General features: G+C 42.1%; 1 protein-coding gene across 46 annotated transcripts in view, besides 3 other annotated features; it reads right to left on the bottom strand.

Annotated features, from left to right (window-relative positions):
* Window positions 1–24,911, bottom strand: part of AOPEP (aminopeptidase O (putative)) — a 423,526-nt gene that overhangs the window by 178,020 nt on the left and 220,595 nt on the right. For 38 of the 46 annotated variants that reach the window (NR_169862.1, XR_929854.3, XR_929853.3 and 35 more), the window contains 3 exons: window positions 16,926–17,028; window positions 16,190–16,297; window positions 4,404–4,447 (listed from right to left, as the gene is read on the bottom strand). The exons of 1 other annotated variant lie outside the window; for it this stretch is intronic. Coding sequence is in view for 33 of the 45 variants with exons in the window: in XM_011519121.4 (XP_011517423.1) it covers window positions 4,404–4,447; window positions 16,190–16,297; window positions 16,926–17,028 (255 nt within the window). In the remaining 12 variants the exon portion in view is untranslated. Of the gene's footprint in view, window positions 1–4,403; window positions 4,448–16,189; window positions 16,298–16,925; window positions 17,029–20,939; window positions 21,042–24,911 lie in introns of those variants that run through there. 7 more of the 46 variants (NR_169863.2, NR_169864.1, NR_169865.1 and 4 more) reach the window with 2 other exon arrangements.
* Window positions 6,064–6,358: a silencer, noted in NCBI's record as "tiled region #10357; K562 Repressive non-DNase unmatched - State 11:FaireW". NCBI's record gives its function as "represses a minimal TATA promoter and a strong SV40 promoter by Sharpr-MPRA in K562 cells {active_cell/tissue: K562}" and the evidence as "EXISTENCE:reporter gene assay evidence [ECO:0000049][PMID:27701403]".
* Window positions 19,463–19,692: a silencer, noted in NCBI's record as "silent region_20058". NCBI's record gives its function as "represses an Ori minimal core promoter by ATAC-STARR-seq in GM12878 lymphoblastoid cells {active_cell/tissue: GM12878}" and the evidence as "EXISTENCE:reporter gene assay evidence [ECO:0000049][PMID:35858748]".
* Window positions 21,593–21,771: a silencer, noted in NCBI's record as "fragment chr9:97712716-97712894 (GRCh37/hg19 assembly coordinates)". NCBI's record gives its function as "represses an EF-1alpha promoter that drives an FKBP-Casp9 reporter gene in an ReSE screen in K562 erythroleukemia cells {active_cell/tissue: K562}" and the evidence as "EXISTENCE:reporter gene assay evidence [ECO:0000049][PMID:32094911]".

Raw genomic sequence — 24,911 nt, 5'->3', positions numbered from 1 at the left:
TTCACAACCAGTCAACCAAGTCTTTTCTGTGGCAACTCTAAAGTATGCCTTGGCCGTTATTTACTCTCAAACCCACCACCACGGTCACCGTCCCTGCCATAGCTCCACCTCTCCAGGTCTCTTGACTGAACCGCTCTATTGGTTTCTAATTGTTTTCCTGGCTTCCAGTCCTCTCCGCCCCCATCTCTCTGCCACACTGCCCTCGGCCACACTGCCCTCGGCAGGTGTCTTTCCAATCTGTTGACGGCACTGCCTTCCTTAAGCCCGTTAGAGGTACAGGTGCCTGAAGGCTCAGAGCTGGGACTGATGGACCCTCTCTGTGTCCCCAGGACTCTGAACCTCAGCAGAGCACTTCCTACATGGAGTCATAATGACTTGTTTCTGTTTTGTCTTCAGTAGTCGGCTAGGAGCCTCCTAGGGCTACTCATGGGATTTATTCCTCTAGGTTCCCCAGTGTCCAGCCCAAAGCCTGGTATGGGAGATGCTCAATAGAGAATGTTGAGTAAATCAAAGCAAGAGAACAATGCAAAGGCAGTAAGGCCTAGAGAGTGCCGGCCCCTGAACACTGACAGACTGGTCTAATCTGAAAAACCTTGCCTCATCAGAACAGTTCACGTGCCTAACAGATGTGCCCAAGGATCAGTTTGCAACAGAGGCCAAAGATTAGAGGCTCCGGGGGGTAGGTGTGGGGCCTTTGGAGACCTAGATAAAATTGGTACAATATGTCGCATAACTAATAGGGTAAACAGTCTGTTTTAATAGCTGAACTAGATTCTGAGATTAGTTAGCAGGCAAAAAGATTTTGAATTTCAAAATATATTCTGGTATACCTGCTGAAATCGATTCATTGTAAAAATGAAATCTCCTTAGCTTTTAAGGAGATTTTTTTAAAAAGAAGCTTAAGCCTGCTAGACAAAACACGATCCTAACCGGGAGAGGTATCCTATCAAAAGGCATGTGATTGGTGATTGGGGGCCACCATTAAGACAGGGACACTGCTCTTAAGTTCCACAATTACAACAACAAAAGTCTCTTTGTGGGCTCAGTGTGCAGCCTCAATAAATATTCACAATGATAAAATCCAGGTTCCCCCAGAGCCAGAGGGCTCAGGGGCCATCCAAATGAACTCCATAACCTTATTAGGAAGAGGATTAAAAGAGAGACCTCCAAAACTAAAAATGCACTTTATTGCTTCAGTGAAAATTACTATATTTATGCCCTAAGAAGTTCTTTTGAAAGAATGCATAGTCACCACTCAGAAACAGACTTTGGTAACAGTCTAAGAAAGTAATACACCATTTCTATTAATTTTCTTTTTTTCTCGGTTTTAGTTCCTAAGGAAACTGCTTCATTCTGTGAGAGGACCTGAAAAGTTATTCCGGGGTAGGTACGAAGAAAAGGAAAAAATATATCCTGCAGGTAAACTGTCTTCTTGATCTTAACAGCCACATGTGATGGGATTTTTGCATGAAGAAATCCCATATGTCTGTTTTTTTTTTTTCAAGACAGCAAATCTGAAAACATTTCAGACCTCCCAAAACAAGCCACATTTCCTTTGAGCAGCCTCCTGAAACACTTAGACAAAGTTTTATCCAGGGAGACTGCGTGGGGCCTTGGAAATCTTGGCCAATTTCTAAGGCCCCACGCAATCTCCCTGCATAAGATTTCTTCAGCATCAAAAGGAATGAACATGAAAAGGTAGAAACAAAGAAATGTATCAAATATGTGTATGTTAATCCTTTATGATGCCTGGCTTGCTTAATGTGTGTGTATAGTGGGCATAAAAACACATTAGTGAAGTAAGATCTACTGTTTGATAGCACAGTTGGGTGTTTAAAGCTAACAGTAGTTTGTTGCATTGTTCAAAATTGCTGGAAGAGAGGAAGTGAAATGTTCCCAACATAAAGAAGGGGTGGATGTCTGGGGTGACTGATGTCCCGGCTGCCCTGGTCTGATAATTCCACATGGTATGCATGCACCAAAATACCACATGCACCCACAAATACAGACCACTATTAAGTATTGAAAAACCTGACTAACAATAATACTTCCACTATTGAAGAAAGAATTTGGAGCCATTCTGAATGGAAGGTGAAAGAGAAGTTTACACAGAAAAAGCCAAACAAAAACCCAATGCTTAGAACAAAACCTCCACGTCCTCATGAGCCCTGGATCCTCTCCTGAATCTGCATGTCATCTCCTCCACCTAGTCTGGTAGCATAAGCCCTGACACTGTACCCTGGAGACACCCAATTCACACTGCCTATAAGACAGTCTCATCAACATGGAGGTTACTGGCCCTGCATGAATCTAAGTCTATGTCTGTGTCAAAGAATTCATTTCCACACTTGGAAATCTGTTCCATGCATAAAAACATAGCTAAAACTGTGGGTCAGAAATGAGGCAAGCAATGTTAACTCTTCTTCAAAAAATGTTTAATTTCTCAAGATGCCTCCGTTTAATGTTTGAATACCAATTTTGCTATTAGAAATTATGTTGGCCAGGCGCAGTGGCCCACGCCTGTAATCCCAGCACTTTGGGAGGCCGAGGCGGGCAGATCACGAGGTCAGGAGATCGAGACCATCCTGGCTAACACGGTGAAACCCCATCTCTACTAAAAATACAAAAAATTAGCCGGGCGTGGTGGCGGGCGCCTATAGTCCCAGCTACTCGGGAGGCTGAGGCAGAAGAATGGCTTGAATCCAGGTGGAGCTTGCAGTGAGCCAAGATCGTGCCACTGCACTCCAGCCTGGGTGACAGAGTAAGACTCCTCAAAAAAAAAAAAAAAAGAAATTATGTTTCAGGGTATTCACTTTTTAACGCCTAAATCAAGATAGGAAATTAGGAGAGGGTTGGAATGAGCGTATTTTAACCCCAAACATTGGTTCTAAGACCCCTCTGCAAACCCTGTCGGTGGTCAGCCAGCCTAAAACTGGATACCTCCAAAAATGAGAATCTCCCTCCTTCCAGGGCAGTGAGCTGGTGCTGAGCAGTGTACTGAAAAAACACGGGCCAGATCCAGATGGGCCTAATTCCATCTATGCTGTTTTGCTTGCTGAGTGATCTTGGAGTCTCAGTTTCCCCATTTGTAACAAAGTAGATAAGAGCATAGGTTCTAGAGCCAGACTGCTTGGGCTAAAATCCCAGCCTGCTGCATACAGCTGTGAGATCCTGGGCAGCTTACTCAGCCTCTCAGTATCTTGGTCCTCTTGTTGGTATTATCGGGATAAAAACATCATGGACCAAATAGTGTTGTTTTGAGGATTAAATGAGTGTCTGTATGTGCTCAACTTCAGTGTTGGCTTATAATAATCACTATCATGATGATGCTGAACAGCACTGTAGTAAGAGTTAAATGATTTCTGTATCTAGATCCTGGATCCAGTGCCTGATACACAGAGGATTATAATTTATCTACACCAATCATTAATTGAACAGCTACTTTTAAAACGTATGCTAGCTCCTTTAATCCTCTCTAAAACCCTGATAGGTTAAAAAACTAAAATTTGGGGGGATTATGTGACTTGCTCCAAATGTCACAGTTAAGAAGTGGCAATCCCAGCACTTTGGGAGGCCAAGGCGGGTGGATCACTTGAGGTCAGGAGTTTGAGACCAGCCTGGCCAACATGGCGAAACCCCAACTCTACTAAAAATACAAAAATTAGTGGGGTGTGGTGGCACACCCCTGTAATCCCAGCACTTTGGGAGGCTGAGGCGGGCGGATCACCTGAGCTGAGGAGTTCAAGACCAGCCTGGCCAACATGGTGAAACCCTGACTCTACTAAAAATACAAAAATTAGGCATCGTGGATGCCTGTAGTCCCAGCTACTTGGGAGGCTGAGGCAGGAGAATCACCTGAACCTGGGAGGTGGAGTTTGCAGTGAACCGAGATCTTGCCACCACACTCCATCCTGGGTGACAGAGTGACACTCCATCTCAAAAAACAAACAAAAGAAGTGGCAGAGCTGGGTTTAAAAATCTAGGAGAGCCTGATTTTACATCCCAAGCTCTTACTACTATACTACATTTTTTCTTTTAATTAAACAGTATTTCCTTGCATTAAGCCACATTAACTAGAGCTACCCTGAGTTTTCTAACCTTCCTCTCTTCCATTCTTTCCGCAGCAGCAAAGGCCACAGATTGCGCTTGGCTTGCCTCCCATATCACTTTTGGGGCTCCTGACTTTGGGGATCTTCAGTCGTGCACACTGGCTCCCAATATCCACTGGGGCTCATCCCAAAGGTTGGCTGATGATCCTGTACTCCCACTGGCAGAACTAGGTCCTTGCCTCTATTAGACAGAAAGACTGAGCTTTCTAGGCTGTGACAAGCCAACCAATGGCAATGTCATTTTTAACATTAAAACTGGGCTCTTAATTCCAAAATTCCTAAATTGGTCCTTACCTTTTTTCTTCTGGAATGTTCTCCAGTAGCATTTGAAGGAAATCCTGGGATTAAAAAAAGCAAATCATTAAAGATGTCCATCAATAAATAACTCTGCCTGGAACCATGCCAGAGGCTGAGTGCTCCCAGCTACTGACAGCTCACCTGCTTGAGAAGCTAGACCTATGCTGACTTAAAAGACTATAGACTCAACTTATTAATTTCCCAGGGTTTCAATCGAATCATTGAAAGAGATCTGTTTTGTAAAAACCAAGAACACATTAAAAAGTGGAATGTTTATTATTCTGACCTAATCCAACAGTCTATTTTGTTTTGTGTTTAGCCATTTTCAAAAGGCTGGCCATCAAGTAAAGCATTATCCCTCTCTACTCCCCCATCGCCTCCAATTCCTGAACCTTCCCTAGAGATTCCTGTACTCCTAGAGTCTAGGAACTAACTGCAACTCTCTTGCGTTGCTCTACCAAATGGTAAAGATAAATATCAAGATGATAAATATGCCATCAAGGAACAAAGATGTCCACAACTCCAAGCATGGCTCACAAGCCCCTGCCTCCATCTGTAGCCTCTTCTCATGCCCTTGTACAAGTCCTCGGTCACTGGACATTTGAGATGTTTAGATGATAAGTTTTTTAAACCTAAAGGCATGGCTTACACACACATACACACACGCACATTTTATTTTCCTTTACTATGGAAAATTTCAAGCACAATCAAAAGTAGACAAAACTTTCACATACCCATCAATGCACAGCCCATCCCGCCCTATCCACTTTCCCTCTTCCTGTGTTATATAGAACCAAGTCCCAAACATTACATAATTTCATCAATAAAGGTTTTAGTAAATATCTCTTATTTACTCTTAAAACATACCACAAAAGCATAAAGACCTAAAAAATTCGAATATGAATGTTCGTTTATATTTAATTTGTACTGTGAATATTGTGACCCCCTTTTCCAGCCCATTTCATTCTGGAATCTTGATTTGTTCTTAACTAGGGTTGTCAAATAAGAAGAGATGCCCAGTAAAATTGGGGGCATAACTACATTAAAAAATTATTCGCTATTAAACTGAAATTTGAATTTTACTGATTTTTCTGTTCTGTATTTTTATTTGCTAAGTGTGTAATCCTAGTGTCAACCTTTCCTCATCTGAAGATTTAATAAGATATACTTTGTATACTTTGGATAAATACAGAACATGAAACAAACAAGAACAATATTTAACTTTCTTGGAACTTGATGATAATGAGTAACAAGTAAGATCTATACTTGAAGTTTTTATTTTAATAAATAGAAAATAATCTTTTAAAATGGGTCTGCCCAAACATGACAGACAAGAGTCACTCCAGACTAAGCCCTCCCAATAGAACCAAGTCTGCAAATACAGACTCCACACAAGACTCTGATGACACCCATTTAACTGCAGACTGAAGCCTACCAGTAGAACCAAGTCTGCAAATACAGACTCTACACAGGACTCTGATGACACCCAGTGAACTGCAGACCGAAGCCTCCCAATAGAACCAAGTCTGCAAATACAGACTCTGCACAGGACTCTGATGACACCCAGTGAACTGCAGACCGAAGCATCCCAATAGAACCAAGTCTGCAAATACAGACTCTGCACAAGACTCTGATGACACCCAGTGAACTGCAGACCGAAGCCTCCCAATAGAACCAAGTCTGCAAATACAGACTCTACACAGGACTCTGATGACACCCAGTTAACTGCAGACTGAAGCCTCCCAATAGAACCAAGTCTGCAAATACAGACTCTACACAAGACTCTGATGACACCCAGTGAACTGCAGACCGAAGCCTCCCAATAGAACCAAGTCTGCAAATACAGACTCTACACAGGACTCTGATGACACCCAGTTAACTGCAGACCGAAGCCTCCCAATAGAACCAAGTCTGCAAATACAGACTCTACACAGGACTCTGATGACACCCAGCGAACTGCAGACCGAAGCCTCCCAATAGAACCAAGTCTGCAAATACAGACTCTACACAGGACTCTGATGACACCCAGTGAACTGCAGACCGAAGCCTCCCAATAGAACCAAGTCTGCAGACACAGACTTCACACAGGACTCTGATGACACCCATTTAACTGCAGACTGAGGCCTCCCAATAGAACCAAGTCTGCAGATACAGACTTCACACAGGACTCTGATGAGACCCATTTAACTGTGAGATGGAAGCAGTAGCACAGATCTTCACGTTACAGAACAGCTAGAATTACAGAGGGATAGAAATCTGCAAACCATTTGTATGACAAGGTGTTCTTCTTCTATCATCACACAGAAATACAGCTACCACTACACTAGTGAAGCTGGCTGTCTGATTTCTACATGTTCATGGGTGGTCACAGTCCATTTCTTCCGGAGACAAAGTCTCCCTATTAAAAGCATTAATGAAATATTTATTTCTTGTAATGTCTGTTCTCCTTCTGAGACTTTACTTGTTTATTGCTGTTTGACGTGAAATAACAATACAAACAGTAATAAAACTAATGTTTAAAAAAATGGACCACGCAAAGAAAATGGGAGCGGGGGGACAACCCCAAACTGACTGATGCCTCACAACTGAAGTCGTTCCTTGCACCTGCAGTGGATATACAGAGAAAAATACCAAAGGAAACGAGCAGTATTTAGAATGCAAAGAATTATTTGTGCGTGAGGTTCTTAGTTATCATTTTTATTACTTAAAAATTATTTTGCAAAAAAGTTGAATTAGACATTTATCACAATCTAATATATTATTTTATAAATTTAGTATCTTAATAGATAACTTTGTAGATTAATTTCTCACTGGCTTGTGGATAGGATTTTTGATTCTTAAAAATCCAAGTCCTTGTAGGGGCCGGGTGTGGTGTCTCACGCCTGTAATCCCAGAACTTTGGGAGGCCAAGGCGGGCAGATCACAAGGTAAGGAGTTCGAGACCAGCCTGGCCAACATAGTGAAACCCCGTCTCTACTAAAAATACAAAAAATTAGCTGGGTGGGTTGGTGGGCACCTGTAATACCAGCTACTTGGGAGGCTGAGGCAGGAGAATTGCATGAACCTGGGAGGCGGAGGTTGCAGTGAGCCGAGATCGCGCCATTGCACTCCAGCCTGGGCGACAGTGAGAGACTCCGTCTCAAAAAAAAAAAAAAAAAAAAAAGTCCAAGTACTTGTAATGATAACTTTTTACTAAGTTTACTTCATTATCTCCTTGTAGCCTATACTAATTTATCCTATATTTGCCTGGTAATTTATGCTCAATTATATGGGGGGAAATTACATTAACTCAATGGCAACGGGGGGAATTTAATTGCATGAGAAGCAGGAAATTCAGAGTTAACCTTAATTCTGCCCTTTTGCATTTTCCAGTTACAATTGGATCCTTCTGTACAGGATTGCAGAGCACAAGTATCCAGAATTGGGTGTTGAGTTCAGGGTAAGCGCAGGAGGCCCCGGAAACCCTGCTTCATGTTGAAGGAAGATGGTTGTCCTGCCTCCCAGTGGGCTGTGATCCTGGAGCACCTGCCTCTTCCTACCTCAGAGCTCAGGCCTGCAGGCAACAGAGCAGTGAGCTGGAGGCTGCCAGCGATGCTGGGGATGGCAGGCCCAGGGGATCGCAAAATCCTAACACCTTGGGCATCTCTAAGACATGGGGCTGCATTCCCACAGGCTATGGGAATGTCTTTCTATAGCGTTCGATATTCTTCTGTTCTGTGTTCCATCCCATTCAAGATAGCTGGTCTCATCCAGGCAGTCTCTGTACCATCTATCAATGGAATTAACCCACTGGCCCTTCTTACTCCTGTCATAGATTCCATCTTTAACCATGAAACACTAGTTTTCCTGTTTCTTTTCATAAATTGGCATATACCTCTAAAGTGGACTTATGACAGAAGCTTTTTCCACTTTCTACAGCACAAGAAAATAAAAAGAAAAATGTCTCTTATGATTATTCCTTCCTGCACCACCTCTTTTCAATTCTTTCGTCTGTCTTCTTTCTTTCCTACAGTGTATTGGCAGTTTTGTGAAAGCAAATTATAAATCTTATTTGGACAAGGAAGACTTTTTTCATAGCTGATTCTAGAAAAATTTGACAAAGTTAGCTAGCAACAAATAGTAGGGGCCCCAGCTTGTCACCTCTGCAGTGTGCCTGAAAACAAATTAAAACCAAAGCCCACCCCCACTCCCCAAAATCTATTGATAAAACAATAGATTTATTTAAATCTATGAAGGGGATGAAATTCTATCTGGACCCTTGGCGATGGTTACAAGCCCACACTCCAATCAGAAAATACATTCCTTTAGAATTTTTTTTTCATTTCCTACTGTCCTAATAATCTATATGCCAATCAGGTCCATCGCATACAGCTTGTTTTGATTAACACCTAACAACACTAAATTAAACACTACACATTTTTGAAAAACTAACACTGATTTTGGCACATGGCTAATTTGGTAACTATTTTTTAGTCCTGGTGAAAGTATTCAACAGAAAGCAGGTACATGTAGATTCTACTGGATAAACTGACACTGGCTTGACTATTACATGGGGCTAGCAATTTCTGTCGAGTATTTTATGAATAATTATCATGTTCATGGGGAAGGGGTGGGAGGTAGTAGAGGCAAAACAAAATATTGAAGGAAGGACAGGATTGGCAAGATAAAAACTGAGAAGAAATGAAATTGTCAGGAAGAAGTTATTGTTACACTCAAGAGAGGGCTTTTAGTGGGGGCTACAAAGATGATAATATTGGCTGGATGCGGTGGCTCACGCCTGTAATCCCAGCACTTTGGGAGGCTGAGGTGGGCGGATCATGAGGTCAGGAGGTCGAGACCATCCTGGTTAACACGGTGAAACCCCATTTCTACTAAAAAATACAAAAATTTAGCCAGGCGTGGTGGCGGGTGCCTGTAGTCCCAGCTACTCGGGAGGCTGAGGCAGGAGAATGGCGGGAGAATGGCGTGAACCCACAAGGCAGAGCTTGCAGTGAGCCGAGATCACGCCACTGCACTCCAGCCTGGGTGACAGAGTGAGACTTCGTCTCAAAAAAAAAAAAAAAAAAAAGATGATAATATTGAAATGCTGGACAGGGAGGGCATTTGGAAGGGAAAGGATTAAGATGTAAACTGGAAAAGGAAGAACTTTAGGGACTTCTGAGTAAAGAAACTGGATCATAGACCTTCATCATCAATAACTAACTAGCAATTTACACAAAAACACAAACCATTAAAGTAATTAAAAATGTAACCAGCAGCATTCAAACAAGGACAGCCTCATGGCATAAACTTCAAGAAGATGCAACTAAGGAAGAAATCTAAGATTCAAACACAGCTTCTAACTCTCCCTCTGCACCGACCCCCAGCCTCATGCTTAGCAGTAGCAGTACTGGTGAACTGCACAAACCCGGCAAATTCTCACAAATATCCACACATTTGGGAAAAAATAGGAATATCTTTGTCTGTCTTCTTTTTTGCCTGTGGAGGGGCTGGAAGTGTTTGCTGGCAAGAGATGAGTAAAACGTGGGAAATAAACAACTGAGGATGACTCTCTTCGGTGAACTGCTCATGTTCTAGGGCTGTCACCTAAATTGGAGGAACAATATTAATTGAGAGGGAATTAATTAATATTAACACAGTGGGAAAAAGCTGCACCCATATTAGGTCACAAGAATCTTGGCAGGGGACATTTAACAAGTTTTCAAGAGCAGCACAGCCACATTTTCCCAACAAAGGCTGTATACAACTCCAGTGGAGCTTCTCTCCTCCTCCCCTGTACACATAACATCCAAGTTTCAAACTGTAGCTCAGAGGGAGAGAAAAACAGGCATAGCACAAGTTGGAAAAGGAATCAAAGATAATGTTCCAATACATATGAGAATAAACGAAAGGTCAGGAGAGTGCTACCCAAGCTGAGAATGAGCAAAAAGAAACGTATGGCAACCATGCAAACTAACACAACAACAACTCACATAGAAAGAAAGCAGCATAACACATAAAAGATAAGGAATCCCGCCTTGAAGAAAACATAATCCAAGGAATAGAAGAAAATTCTCCATGAATACTTTACACTATAAAATAAATTAACAGCTACAGAAAAAATAAAAACATAAATTTGGTAAAATGAAAGCTCAAAGATAAGTTGACAAAACAACAAAATGAAAAGAACATAGAGATTTCATGGCAAAGGTAATAAATTAAGGACCAGTACAAGAGCACTAATAGAAACGTCAAGGAAAAGAACAGACATTAAGGAAAATAACACTAACAATAAAGGGGTTGCTTCGGATTAATACAGGTCATGAAGAAGAAAAAGATAAACGCAATTGGAAAATAACAGGTATAGAGGACAAGGATGACATAACACAAGGAAAACTGGTAACCTTGAAATCCAGAACCCTGCAAGGGGGAAAAACGAATTCAAAAATACAATGAAGACATACTTATTGAAAGAGGAAAGAATAGAATCTAGGACTAAAAATAAAAATGCACACTATTTTTCCAGGGGGAAAAAAGATAGAAAACCATAGACACCAAGCCATTTCCTGATAAAATTACTAAACTTCAAAGATAAGGAAAGAATTCTTCTGTCATCTAAGAGGCAGAAAGGGGGAAAAGCAGGATGACTGCAGAAGTTTCCACAGCAGGATTTAATGCCAGAAAGCAGCTGAGCCATGTCTAAAAAGTTTTGAGGGCATGAAAATGTGACCCAAGAATATTATATCCAGTCAGTTTATAATTCAAATATAAAGAAAACAGGCAAGCATTCTTTTTTTTTTTTTTTTGAGACAGATTCTCGCTCTGTCGCCCAGGCCGGAGTGCAGTGGCGCGCAATCTCGGCTCACTGCAAGCTCCGCCTCCCGGGTTCACGCCATTCTCCTGCCTCAGCCTCCCGAGTAGCTGGGACTACAGGCGCCCCCCACCGCGCCCGGCTAATTTTTTGTATTTTTAGTAGAGACGGGGTTTCACCGTGTTAGCCAAGATGGTCTCGATCTCCTGACCTCGTGATCTGCCCACTTTGGCCTCCCCAAGTGCTGGGATTACAGGCGTGAGCCACCGCACCCGGCCCACAAGCATTCTTACGCAGTAAGAACTCAGAAATAGAGCCTGTGAGTCTGCAACGAACACAAATTTGATAATGAAATTCAGCCAGCAAAGAGCTGAATCAAAATAAAATATTCATGAAAAAAGGTAAAATAACTGGTGGTAAATACTGAAATCCTTTAACAAGCCAAGATTACACAACTGTGAAAATTATGGTTATAGTCAATTTTGTAAATGAAATAAATCTTAATATATAAAAATAATAATTAAGAAAAATTTAGAATTAAGGGGAAAGTAGTTAAAGTACATAACTATTTAATTCCTCATCTTTTTTTTTTTTTTCCCTGAGATGGAGTCTCGTTCTGTCCCAGGCTGGAGTGCAGTGGCGTGATCTCGCCTCACTGCAACCCCCGCCTCCTGGGTTCAAGCTATTCTCCTGCCTCAGCCTCCTGAGTAGTTGGGATTACAGGCACTCACCACCAATGCCTGGCTAATTTTTGTATTTTTAGTAGAGATGGGATTTCACCATGTTAGCCAGGCTGGTCTCGAACTCCTGACCTCATGATCCACCCGCCTCAGCCTCCCAAAGTGCTGGGATTACAGGCGTGAGCCACCGTGCCCGGCCAATTCCTCATCTTTTACAGTAGTGAATAAACTGATGTTTTCTACAAATGGAATATATAGGTAAAGGGAAAAAATAATTTCAACCTCTTAATTCTTTTATAATAATGTTTCTTAACCATAAAAAATTCTTTTAGAAAATAATCTTTCTTACATTTATCTTAAGTTTGGGAAGTTATCTCCACTTTAGTTGCTTTTTCATTCATTAAATTCAAGTAAAAGAAAATTTAAAACACTTCATTAAAATGCACATATAATATAATCCTATTTTTATAAAATTATTTCTGTCCAGTGACATCAATGTCTGTATACACACATATGCCATATATACATACATACACAGATACATGTATATATATCATGTATAACATATAAACATTGAGGGATAAATAGTATGATTTCTGGAGTGTCACTCACACAATATTAATTATAGGTATTTCTGGGTGGTGGGATTTTGAGTAATGTTTCACATTCTTTGTATTTTTCTGCATTGCTTATAATTTTTTATAATGAGTATATGCCAGGTGGAAAAGCAATAATTTCCAAAGTTAATACAAAGCTACAGTAATCAAGACAATATGATACTAGCACAAGAATAGAAATAATGATTAATGGAATCAAATTGGGAGTCCAGAAGTGAATGCTTACATTAATGATCAACTAATTTTTGGCAAGGGTACCAAGGCAATTCAATGGAGGGAAAGAACAGTCTTTTTAACAAATGGTTTATGGGACAACTGGATATTCACATGCAAAAAAAAATTAAGTTGGACTGTAATCGTCACAACATATATAAAAATTAATTCATCACACCTGTAATCCCAGCATTTTGGGAGGCTGAGGTGGGTGGATCACGAGATCAGGAGATCAAGACCATCCTGGCTAACATGGTGAAACCCTGTCTCTACTAAAAATACAAAAAATTAGCCAGGTGTGGTGGCGGGCACCTGTAGTCCCAGCTACTCGGGAGGCTGAGGGAGGAGAATGGTGTGAACCCAGGAGGCGGAGCTTGCAGTGAGCCGAGACCGCGCCACTGCACTCCAGCCTGGGTGACAGAGCGAGACTCCATTTCAAAAAAAACAAAAACATTAATTCAAAACAGATTAGAGGACTAAATATAAGAGCTAATGCAATAAAACTCTTAAAAAAAAAACATAGGAGTGAATCTTTGTGACCTTTAATGAAGCAACAGTTTCTTAGTTATGACACTTAAAGCATAATAAACCAAAGAGAAAATAGATACATTGGACTTCATCAAAATTAAAAACTTTTGTGCTCTAAAGGACACCATCAAGAGAGTAAAAACACAAAACATAAAATAAAACAAAATATTTGAAAATCATATCTCTGATAAGGGACTTATATCCAAATAAAGTAGTCTTAAAACTCAATAATAAAAGACAATCGAAATTTTAAAATCAGCAAATAATCTGAATAAACATTTCTCCAAAGAAGAAATGGCCCATAATCACATAAAAAGTGCTCAAAATCATTAGCCATCACAGAATGCAAATCAAAACCATCATGAGCTATAATTTCACACCCACTAGGATGGCAATAATAAAAAAATCCAGAGGGCATTAAGTGTTGGCAAGTGCGTGAAAAAACTGGAAGCCTTGTGCATTTCTGGTGGGAATGTAAAATGGCACAGCCAATATGGAAACAGTATGGCAATTCTTCAACAAGCTAAACATAGAATTATTGTATAACCCAGCAATTCCACTTCTGGGTATATACTGAAAATAACTGAAAGCAGGGACTTGAACAGATATTTTATTCACTAATGGTCACAGCAGTATTATTCACAATGGCCAAAAGATGAAAAAAATGCAAATGTTCATGAAAGAATTAACAGGTAAACAAAATGTGATATATACATGCAATGGAGCATTCAGCTTTAAGAAGGGAAGAAATTCTGGTACATGCTGCAACATGGATGACCTCTGAAGACATTATGCTAAGTGAAGTAAGCCACATACAAAAGGACAAATACTGTGTGGTTCCACTTACATGAGGTACCTAGAAGAGTCAAACTCACAGAGACAGAAAGTAGAATGGCGGTTGCTGGGGCTGGGGGAGGAAAGAATGGAGGGTTATCATGATGAAATATTAATGGTATGGGAGATGGATGGTGGTAATGATCGCACAAAAATGTGAATGTACTTAATGCCACTGACCTGTGAACTTAAAAATGGCTAAAATGGTAAATTTTTTTTGTATATTTTATTACAATTAAATGAACATTAAAATAAAAAAGAATGAAGTACTGATACATGCTATATGAACCTTGAAAACATTACGTTAATAAAGCTAGACACAAAAGTTCTCAAAGCATATGATTCTTTTATATGAAATGTCCAGAAAAGGCAAATCCATAGAGACAGAAAGCGGATTAGTGGTTATGTAGGGCTGGGGGAGTAAAAATGGGGAAATGACTGCTAATGATTTCTTCTGGGTTTGGTGAATATGTACTAAAATTAGATAATGATGACGGTTGAACAATCTTGTAAATATACCAAAAACCACTGACTTGTAGACTTTCAAAGGGTTAACTTTATGGTATGTGAATTTTATCTCAATAAAGTTGCTATGAAGAAACAATGAAGCTTTTCAAAAGAGATAAACGGGCTGGGTGTGGTGGCTCACACCTGTAATCCCAGGACTTTAGGAGGCCAAGGTGGGCAGATCACCTGAAGTCAGAAGTTCAAGACCAGCCTGGCCAACATGGTGAAACCCCATCTCTACTAAAAATACAAAAATTAGCAGGGTGTCGTGGCAAGCGCCTGTAATCCCAGCTACTCGGGAGGCTGAGGCGGGAGAATCACTTGAATCTGGGAGGTGGAGGTTGCAGTGAGCCGCGATCGCACCACTGCACTCCAGCCTAGGCGACAGAGGAGAATCTGTCTCCAACAACAAAAAAACAACAAAAAAGAGAGAAGCAAACGAAGAACTGAACAGTTTGGTTAAGAGAGCAGTAAGAGTTCCATGGGAAGTGAAAATCAAAACCTCCGAAGTCATGGTAAATACAATGCACTTATTTAACACTGCAGTCTCTTGGTGAGAAGTGGCTTCAAGCAGTAGGAATTTGTACTAATCAGTCAACCAAGCATGTAAGACTTCTGAACCAGTTTTCGAATTGCTTTTCCAAATATATGCTTAGGGAGGATTTTCCCCACACCCAGTACAAAAATAAAAAGAACATAGAGGAACAGCCATCCGGTCTTGTTACGCTCATGTGATTCTTCCATCTGTGTTCAAATTATACGTGCACATCCTTTACATCTAACACTGGAGATAATGAGACTCACAGCTGTATATGAGCACAATTATCAAATATGAAAAAGGTCCATTAGTCCAATCTATGCTAAGGATGCATCACCTATTTTCTATTAGTTATGAGTGTCATTTTTCAGAGCCTGCCACTCCTTGTTAACTTCCTTGCTATGTGCTGCTTGGCCCCATGCCCATACGAGCTGACAGGGTCTCTCTCTGATAGTTTTGTGGCCAGGCTGTCTGCATATTTCAGTGTATCTGGTTATTAATCTATTGATCAAATATTTATGGAGTACCTACTGTGTGCCAATCATGTGCTAAGTACTGGTGAAATAGAATGGTCTGGCCTTGTTGGGCATATACGTAGAGTGGAGGACAGCGAAAAGAAACAAATAGCCCCATGATGAAAACATAATTACAGACAATGGCAATGACAATGAAGGCAATGGAAAGGGCAAAGGGGTGGGACACGTGAGCCTGGATGCAGATCTGTTTAGCCGGGTGACTTGGAGCCTGTGGCGTTCAAACTGAAAACTAGAAGGTAAGAAGGAGGCAGTCTTCCAAAGATAAGTCCAGGTAAAGAGAACGGCAGGATTGTTTTATTTTTGTCTTTAACTATCACTGTGTACGAGACAGCTTTGGGTTATAGTTTATTTCAAAACTACAGAGAGATCACCTTCCCTGAAGCAACCCTTTCTTTGTGTCCATTTCATTAACTTCCTATTTTTCCCACTGCATTAAATGGGAAACCTTTTCCCTACTCTTTAATACTGGCATAATCTAATCTTCATGTGCCATACCCCCTCCAGTCATACATCATGGACTCATGAGGACCCATAAGTTACCTGGGAAAGAATCAGCTGTCCATGAAATGTGTGCACAAATTTTCTTAAAAATGAAAAATAGGTTTCATCTCCAAGTCTTTTGGCAAGAAACCGAAGAAGGAAGTAGCCCTAGAAGAAAGAAAAAAGAGAGAGAAAAAGAGGCCTACCATGAGTTCATAAAAAAATGGTTATATAGTCAGCCCTACCTAACCCATAGTGCACTTGTGCATCTAGAATGTGCCGTCCTACCTGTCCCTGGCTGCCCTTTCCATTTTCACCAGGAAGGCGTGGCCTGGAAATTAATTAGTTCTCAACTCCTTTGTTAATGTTGTCATCATTTTTGTTTGGACTTGGTTCACATGAAGGCTGGTTGTCCATCGCAGATGAAAAGAGAAGAGAGACCCAGTTCTTCTCTACTCCCCCTACCAGGAAAGGCCTTCACGACAGAAAACACTTCCTTCTCACCCATGTCTTTCAGTTGGAACCTGACAGCAAAGTGAGAGTTCTGCTCCTCAGGCAGGGAGAACAGAGGTACAGGGCAGGGAATATTTCAGCCTTTGTTCATTCAGTCTTTCCTAACTTGGTCTCCTTTTTTGGGCATGAAGTGCTTTAATTACTGAACGCTCAGATATCTGGCCAGTCAGATATCATTACAGTATTTTCACCTCAGTCTTGTTACTAATCATCATTGTTTAATTGTGTGGCCTAAAAAGTGCTGCACCACAATCACTGGCTTCTGCAACTGACATGTGCTTACCTTTAAATAATGCACCTGCATGAAGATCTTCTCCGGATTAAGTCCATGCTTGATAACAGATGCTCCCGAGTCACTTGTGTGGCCAGTTTTGTCTTTACTGGGTCTAAAACGATTTAGTAACAATTTATTTAAGTATAGCACATTCTTAAGTAATTAGGTCATAATAGCATCTTATTTGTTATTTTCAGAGTTGCTCAATATCATCCTGATTCTATTCAACAGTACCAGGTATAATTTAGAACAGTTTGTATTACATACTCGTCTACGGGATTTATATTTGGGTTGGGAACCTGAAGTTGGCTATTGGCAAATATTTTACATCAATTTATCCAAAATTAAAGTCTGCCAGACCCTCAAGGGTTCTAAGCTCTACTATAAATTATCTAAGAACGTATACCCTTTTTTGATGACAGACTGGGAAATGCAATGGAAAATGAAGCTTTACTTGGAAAAGTAAAGAACTTATATCTCTTTCAAAAAATTTTGAAAGCCTCAATGTTATCCACTTCTCTGGATTTGCACTTAGTAATTAAGGCTCCTTTAATAAATATTTGTACTTTCCACCCATATTAGAATTACAAAAAAAGGTCATAGAAGCTCATGTTTTTAGAACAGGTGGGAACATCAAGAATCACATACTTCAACTTCCTCATTTCACACAAGGTAAACTGAGGCACACAGACATTAGTTCTACAGTAAGTTTGTCCAACCCACAGCCCATCCATGGGCCACATGTGGCCCAAGATGACTTTGAATGCAGCCCAACACAAATTCATAAACTTCTTAAAACATTACGAGATTTTTTTGCGATTTTTTCCTTAGCTTATCAGCTGTCGTTAGTGTTAGCTTATTTTACACATGGCCCAAGACAATTCTTCTTCTTCCAATGTGGCCCAGGGAAGCCAAAAGATTGGACTGGATAGTCACGGTCCACTCAAAGTCTTTTTTTTCCTTCGAGTCAGGGTTTCACTCCCATCACCCAGGCTGGAGCGCAGTGGTGCGATCTTGGCTCACTGCAACCTCTGCCTCCTGAGCTCAAATGATCCTTCTGCTTCAGCCTCCCAAGTAGCTGGGATTACAGAAGCCTGCCACCGTACCCAGCTAATTTTTGTTTTTTTCTGTAGAGATGGGGTTTCGCCATGTTGGCCAGGCTGGTCTCGAACTCCTGAGCTCAAGCCATCCGTCCACCTCAGCCTCCCAAAGCGTTGGGATTACAGGTGTGAGCCACCACGCCCAGCTTTATGCCTTGTTTTGATTTGTAGTGACATTAGGACTGAAACCAGCGACTCCTTATTCTCCATGAAGATCTTTTCCACTGTGCTATTTGGCTTTAAAATTTTAAATATTTTAAATAAAATGTAACAGATCCTTTGGGCCATCTAGTAAAGATTTGTGCAGTGTTACAGTATAGCTTCAACAGCTGAATCAAAATAAGTGAGGAGGTATTTACAGCTTTCGGCTGTTCTAAAACCGGCCACTCACTGGATCAACACTGAGGAGTGTTGAGGTGAAGGAAGGCAAGGAACCACGAGAGGGTTGGTGCATCAGAAAAGCAAGGGGTTATTTTAAAAGGTAGTGTGGTGGTGCAGAAGGTATGCAGCCTTTGGAATATGAGACCTAGTTTAGACTAGCAGCCTTACTTCTTACTACCTGTTACTTACTAACCTTCATTTACTCACTTGTAAAATGGGAATAATCCTACCCACCTTCCCTGATCCTGCAGAGAATAACTGAAATAATACATTGCAAAGCCCCTAGCAAGGGCCAGGGATACAGAAATTACCTAATAAACTTAATAAAATATTCCATTTTAGCAAACAGGATCCCTGATTAAGTCTTAGCTGAATACTCTGGGACATTATCCCAGCAGACACAAGGCACAGAATCAGCAGATACCTAAAGGAAAGATGATGATGAAAACCATCAGAGCTAACTGCATACTTTTCATTTTTCTACTCGATCCCTGACTTACCTACATGCCCACACTTGTAAGAATAACTAATCCATTTCATCTTCATTTAAGACTCCCCTGAAAAGAATCAGCTTTTTTCACTGCTCTCAGGTTTGTCCTGCCATGCAATGTTTTTGTAAGAAAGCCACACTAGCTTTGATAAGGAAAGCCCATCACCCACTGTCTGGGGGAAGGGAGACTTCTCAAGAGTCAGTCTGAACTCAAACTAGGTTGCCCAGCCCTAAGACAGGCAGAGTTGCCGTGCGTCTTTTTTGCCCTTGAGCCCTGAATTGAGACTGCTCGAAGGGGAGGAACACAGAAGAATGATGTAAATCTCTGCTCAGAAGGCTGGCTTCCAGGTTCCAGTTCCCAATGACGCCTTCAGTTGCTGTTTTTTCCTTTGCCTAAAAATGTCCTTCCCGAAAGCATCCCTCTCTAACTCTCTTCTTCCATCCTCTCCAAATGAAGAAGTGCTCAAGAAAATTCTTCCTGCTGACAGCATTCAAAGCCAATATACAAGTCCCCAAGAGATTCCTTTGATAGCAGCTTGCTGCTGGAGAGGGCAGTGCACAGGCAAGCTTTGCAAGAAATCAGAGGGGGTGGTTTCTAGGAGGAAATGACACTCTATGAATGGAAACAGGAAACTTCCATCTCTGTGCTACTCTGGTTCTCACAATGCTACTAATACCAGGTCTGCGTAGAGAGACAAAGTACCGGAGAAAGCAGATGAACTACAACCACACACAGTAACACAGATGACTCTCACAGGTCAGCCAAAGAAGTCAGGTCCACGAAGTGCACACACACATGTACAAGTCCATGTCAATGAAATCCAAGAACAGGCAAAACTGACCTATGGGGATAGAGATCAGAATAATGGTCACCTTGGGAGGGAGTGTTGACAGACAGCAGAGAAACAGGAAGGTTTCTGAGATGCTGGGACTGTTCTATAGATTGATCTGAATGTACTTTCATGGGGATAAATCATAAAAATCCTTTGAGCCATCTAGCAAAGACTTGTGCACTTTAATGTATCTATGTTATGTTTCATTTAAAAACTTAAGCGATGCACGTACATGAAACAGCATACACTTGCGAGCAGGAAAGGCCATCAGTCTAGAAAAGGGGCTTTGCCACTCATGTGCCACTGGCACACGACTAGGATGAACTAAGCCCTATGCACCTGAGGACCAATGCAAAATTTTTTTTAAAATGACAGTGTGAGAGGCAGGAAGGGCTGTGGCAAATCCAACTGGTCGGTCTACTCCCATTCTCATTTGCCTTCTTCCTTGCCACTTGTATGACTGAATCTGAAAAGCTAATGCTCATTTTCTAAGTGTCTCTTGCAGCTGTGGCACTTAGTCCAGGCCAAAATGAAAAAAGCAGATGTCTGCTGTGATTCCATGCTGGGTGGGGTTCTGGGAAAGCTTTTGCTTTCCTTATAAAGGGGGAAAATGTGACTGCTACCGCACCTCTTCCCCACAAGCCTGGTGGATGGAGCAGTGATGGCCATCTTGCAACCATGAGGCAGCAAACCAGGATTCTGTGGAGAGCAGAATGGACTGAAGGAAGGCAAACAGCCTTTACTATCATCATGCTGCTCCTGGCCAGCCTGGGGATGCCTGCCTTCTGACTTTGTATTGTGTGTGAAAGATAACTACCATTTGTTTAAGTCAACCATTGCTTTATTGCTGCAATAATTGTAGCCAGATTCGTTTCTAACTGGACTAGTACTAACAGCTAACGTTTCCTGGTTATCCTCTGTGCCAGGTACTCAGCCAAGCTCTTCTTATTATGCATCACACCCTCTTCCCTCATAAGATCCTGATGAGGCCACATCCTGTTTATGCCCATTTAAAAGTTAAAGAAAGTGAGTCCTAGAGAAGACCACAAAACTGGTTAGTGGCAGAGTCGAGGTTAAGAACCCAGGTCCACAGAACACCAAAGTCCTTGCTACACTCTGGGGCCCCCCCAAGATCCAGGTCCCCATCTTGGCTGTGCCAAGTACTAAGTGGAGAACCTTAGAGGAATTGCTTACCCTCCCTGAAGCTCAGCTTCCTCACCTGTAAAGTCTGCAGTGAGGCTCAGGTCATGTGGAAGCATTCCATAAAAGCAAAAGTGTTCAGTATCTCTTAGACATTACACTCTGGTGTTTATTTCTTTGGCTGGAATACATGGAATGTGAGAGATCAAGTTACCAAGGTCATCTGAGCTCAAATGCCCTTGGTTTCTGTTGTACTTGGCACCAAATGCAACAACTGAGATTGACGTGCCCTTTCCCTTCCCCACGCCTTCCTTTTCCACCACAACCACAGAGGCAATGTGGATATTTAAAGAGTGGGCAGGTGGCAGTGATATTTGATACATAATGATTTGATTTCGAATCGGGCCTCCTGAAGAAAGGTCCAATCCTGCAGGATAACCCCAAGGGTGGGATTTGAGAAAATGCCTCTGAACTGTCCTCTGGCATGTCAGCTGGGTCTGAATACCCACCTGCTGCTCTGCCCCCACCCAGGCGGGCCCTCCAGCAGCACTCTTCCTCTCACACTCCCAGCAGTCAGCATGAGAGCCACAAGAGATTCTTCAACTATAAACCTGCTGCTGCCACGCCTGAGCCAGGGACTAAGCATCCCAGAAATGAGACAGAAGGGAATTAATGATCATTTCAACATCTCAGTGTTTCTGTTAGTCGCAGCTGCCCCACCAGGTTTGACAGCTTTGAGAGCAGGACCTCACTCACCCTGCAACAATGGAGGAAGTGAAATCTGACCCTTGTGTAGAGACTGGCCAACAGTGCCCATCTGAGCCCCAGATGCACAGGTGAGACCTGCAGGGGAAGGAGCATGACCACTGGGTGAGGGCTTGGACCCAAGTCTCTCCACTGCCATGTGATCTTGAACATAAGCCCCATGCAGTCCGGCTCCCTCATCTGTGAAAAGGTGACAGTAAGAGTCACTGGGGCAGCTCCCAGAGCTGAGTGGCACCAGAGCACTCAGCCAGAGCTCCTCCTGGCATTCAGTAGCTCAATGTAAATGTGGCTATTATCTGCGTTCTGTGTTCCGACTATGTTCTGACTGAGCCTCCAGTAGCATCAACTAAACCTTCCTCTGACAGGCAAAGACATTAAGAAGACATGGCACCATAGTTACGCATGTGAGATGCTGTCATGGGGGAAAGCTGGGGGAGGGGACACAGGAACTCACTCTACTACTACAGTAATTTCTTGGGAGTCTAAACCTATTCCAAAATGAAAAGGTTTTAATGACACCACACACAAATGTAGCCTATACTCTCCCTTGGTGAGACTGCTGATTTTGAATGCAAACCCTTTAAGGGCTGGTCTTTAAGCTTGCTCCTTGACTCATCATCATCAGAAAATAAATAAAAGAAACAACAAATTTCAAGAGCCACATAAAGTCCTACTAAGCTAGGTCTGGGCATCTTCCTTACACACTCATCCCCTTGGTCTACACCGCTCCACGAAGACACCTCTGGGTAAAAAATGAAGGCAGAATGATGAAAGCACAGGAATTCTCTATCCACTGTTTGTTTTCGGTGACAATTTTCCTATCTATAAACTGTGAATAATGAACATTTGCCACTGACTAGCATTTGCAGTGCTACCAAAAGGTTGTGAATAAACCTTTAACTAATAAATTTGTATTGTATCAACACCGCTGGTATTTGGCAGGTGTGACTGTCTGTATGCTTTTCAAAATGGATTTAACAGCTACCCAGCAGGAAGGGCTTCCCCACTGGGACCATCAGCCTGCAGCAGACACAGAAAGATATTCCTCTGGTGTTGAAAAAGGCAATTGCTAAGATGATTTAAGACAGAAGGAGGATCCCTCTGAGGAGCCACGGGAAAATAAACAAGGTTTATTCTGTCCTCCTGAGAGTGAAAGGACCCAGTGGTGGGTACCCATAAGAAGTCTCAGCGTCCCGGGTCGGCTGCTAAAGAAGGTGATAAGGAGAAACTCTGTAGTTAGCAGAACTGTGGAAAATGCAAACAAACTCCACACATTTTAATAATCAGGGTGGGAAAATGAAAGATGAAACTCAGAAAAGCAATGAGTATCAACACAAAACCAAAATGTCCTCAGGTCTTGATTGCCCATGTATCAGAAATTCCTCTGAGAAGCAAAACACCACATGGAGAAAAAATAAGAAACCAATCAATGCAATGGTCTGAGTGCTATATTGTCCCATTCAACACAGCAAGCGATGATCTAGACACATTCTCAAAAGAGACAGAGAAAAACGGAGAGCCAAGACACCCATGTGACTGCACAGGCAGTTTCTGCTAAGGGTGGTTTTCAGAGAACACAGACAATAGTTGAACGGGATGCTGGAGAAAGGAAAAACCCACGCTACATAAAGAGAGCTGGGAGGCTGTAAAATGACTGCCAAGAAGGCAAAACTTCAGGATGGGCTAGTGGAGAAGGCCCAGGACAACAAAAAGGGCTTTGGAGGTGAAGTTGGGAGCATAAGGAAGACCAGGTGCCAAGAGGTGGCAGAAAGAACAGAATGACTCAACTCCCATTTTGATTCAACTTTCCTGCCAAGGAGAATGATTTTCAAGCTACTCATGGTAGAATAAGCCCTGCTATGTGGGAACTGCTGCTTGGTACTGGTAGACAGGGCTCCTTCACCCTTTAAAGGAGTTCCCATTCCAAGTCCAGGTGAGGGACAGGCTATAGCTCTGAAAGCTTCCACCTGTGATATGTGATCACAGATCTCTGCGGGGAGGATCAATTCACACAGACAATGAGAAAGAAGCTGAAGGAGGTAGACAGCTATTCCGATTTGCAAAGATAAGAGATGGGGGGCGGGGCAAAATTTGTGATGACGTTATTGAACAGTTTGTGAGCACTTAAAAGAGAAAATGATGAACTACAAGAGTTAGAATGGGATCCTGAGGGCCAATTCCAGAAATTCAGTGGGGCATCTTGACTTCTGCAAGGCAGCTAGTAGAATGGATGTGGTGGAGAGCATGCAACGGTGAGCATATGGTAGTTGTTTCACGGCTTTATACAAGGCTAAAAAACAGAGCCCCAAGGGTGTTGATTAATTATTTGCTATAACCTGGATGGAGATCCTTAGGTCTGTGCCTAAGGAATGGTGATTTACTGGCTTAACAGATTTGCCTATGAGCTATAGTTGGGAGTCTACCTGGTTGACTGACAGCATCCACAGTCAAGAACAGCAACCGCAGGCTGAACTGAGGGTCCAATGAATAAGAAGAAAATATCTAATAGAGAGAAAGAGTTTTTAAAAAATTAACTGTTTGCCTATGAAAAATATTTAGTATATTTAATTTTCTGTAAACTCAACATGTAGCAGGAGGTGACTGCTGTGGCTTCCAACATAGTAAGCACAAGGGTGGGCTGGATCAACAGGAGGAATGCAAATGTAATGGGAATCCCACTGGGGGAGGTGATGTGGAGAGGAGCAGTTAGGAGCTGGGCTCTGGGGTCAGATGCGCCTCTGCTTTCACCCCAGTGCTGCTGCTTACTCGCTGTGCAGATAAGGCTGACTGCTTAATATCTCCATGCACCTGCTTCCTCCTCTATCAAATGGGGAGGAAAATGGTACTATGGTACCAGCACTTCTCTCACAAGGCCATTTTGGGATCAAATGAGATAATGTATATAGAATGCTTAGGACAGTGTTTGGCATATTAAAAGCACTCAAAGAATGTTATTAAGGAGGAAAAATGCATGGGACTTGGAATGGTAGAACTGCCATGACAAGGTGTATTATACTGAATGTAAAAATGAAATATGGGGCTGGGTGCAGGGGCCCAAGCCTGTAATCTCAGCATTTCAGGAGGCCAAGGCAGAGGATCCCTTGAGGCCAGGAGCTCGAGACCAGCCTGGGCAACAAAGCGAGATGTGGTAGTGCTCGCCTGTAGTCCCAGCTACTCAGGAGGCTGAGGTGGGTGGATCACTGAGCCCAGGAGTTCAAGGCTGCAGTGAACTTTGATTGCGCCACTGCATTCTAGCCTGGGCGACAGAGAAAGACCCATCTCTTAA

The sequence above is a fragment of the Homo sapiens genome, chromosome 9, assembly GCF_000001405.40.
Source record: "Homo sapiens chromosome 9, GRCh38.p14 Primary Assembly".
Classification (NCBI taxonomy): domain Eukaryota; kingdom Metazoa; phylum Chordata; class Mammalia; order Primates; family Hominidae; genus Homo; species Homo sapiens.
Note: the sequence above shows the minus strand (reverse complement) of the source record. Positions and strands in the feature narration are given on the sequence as shown.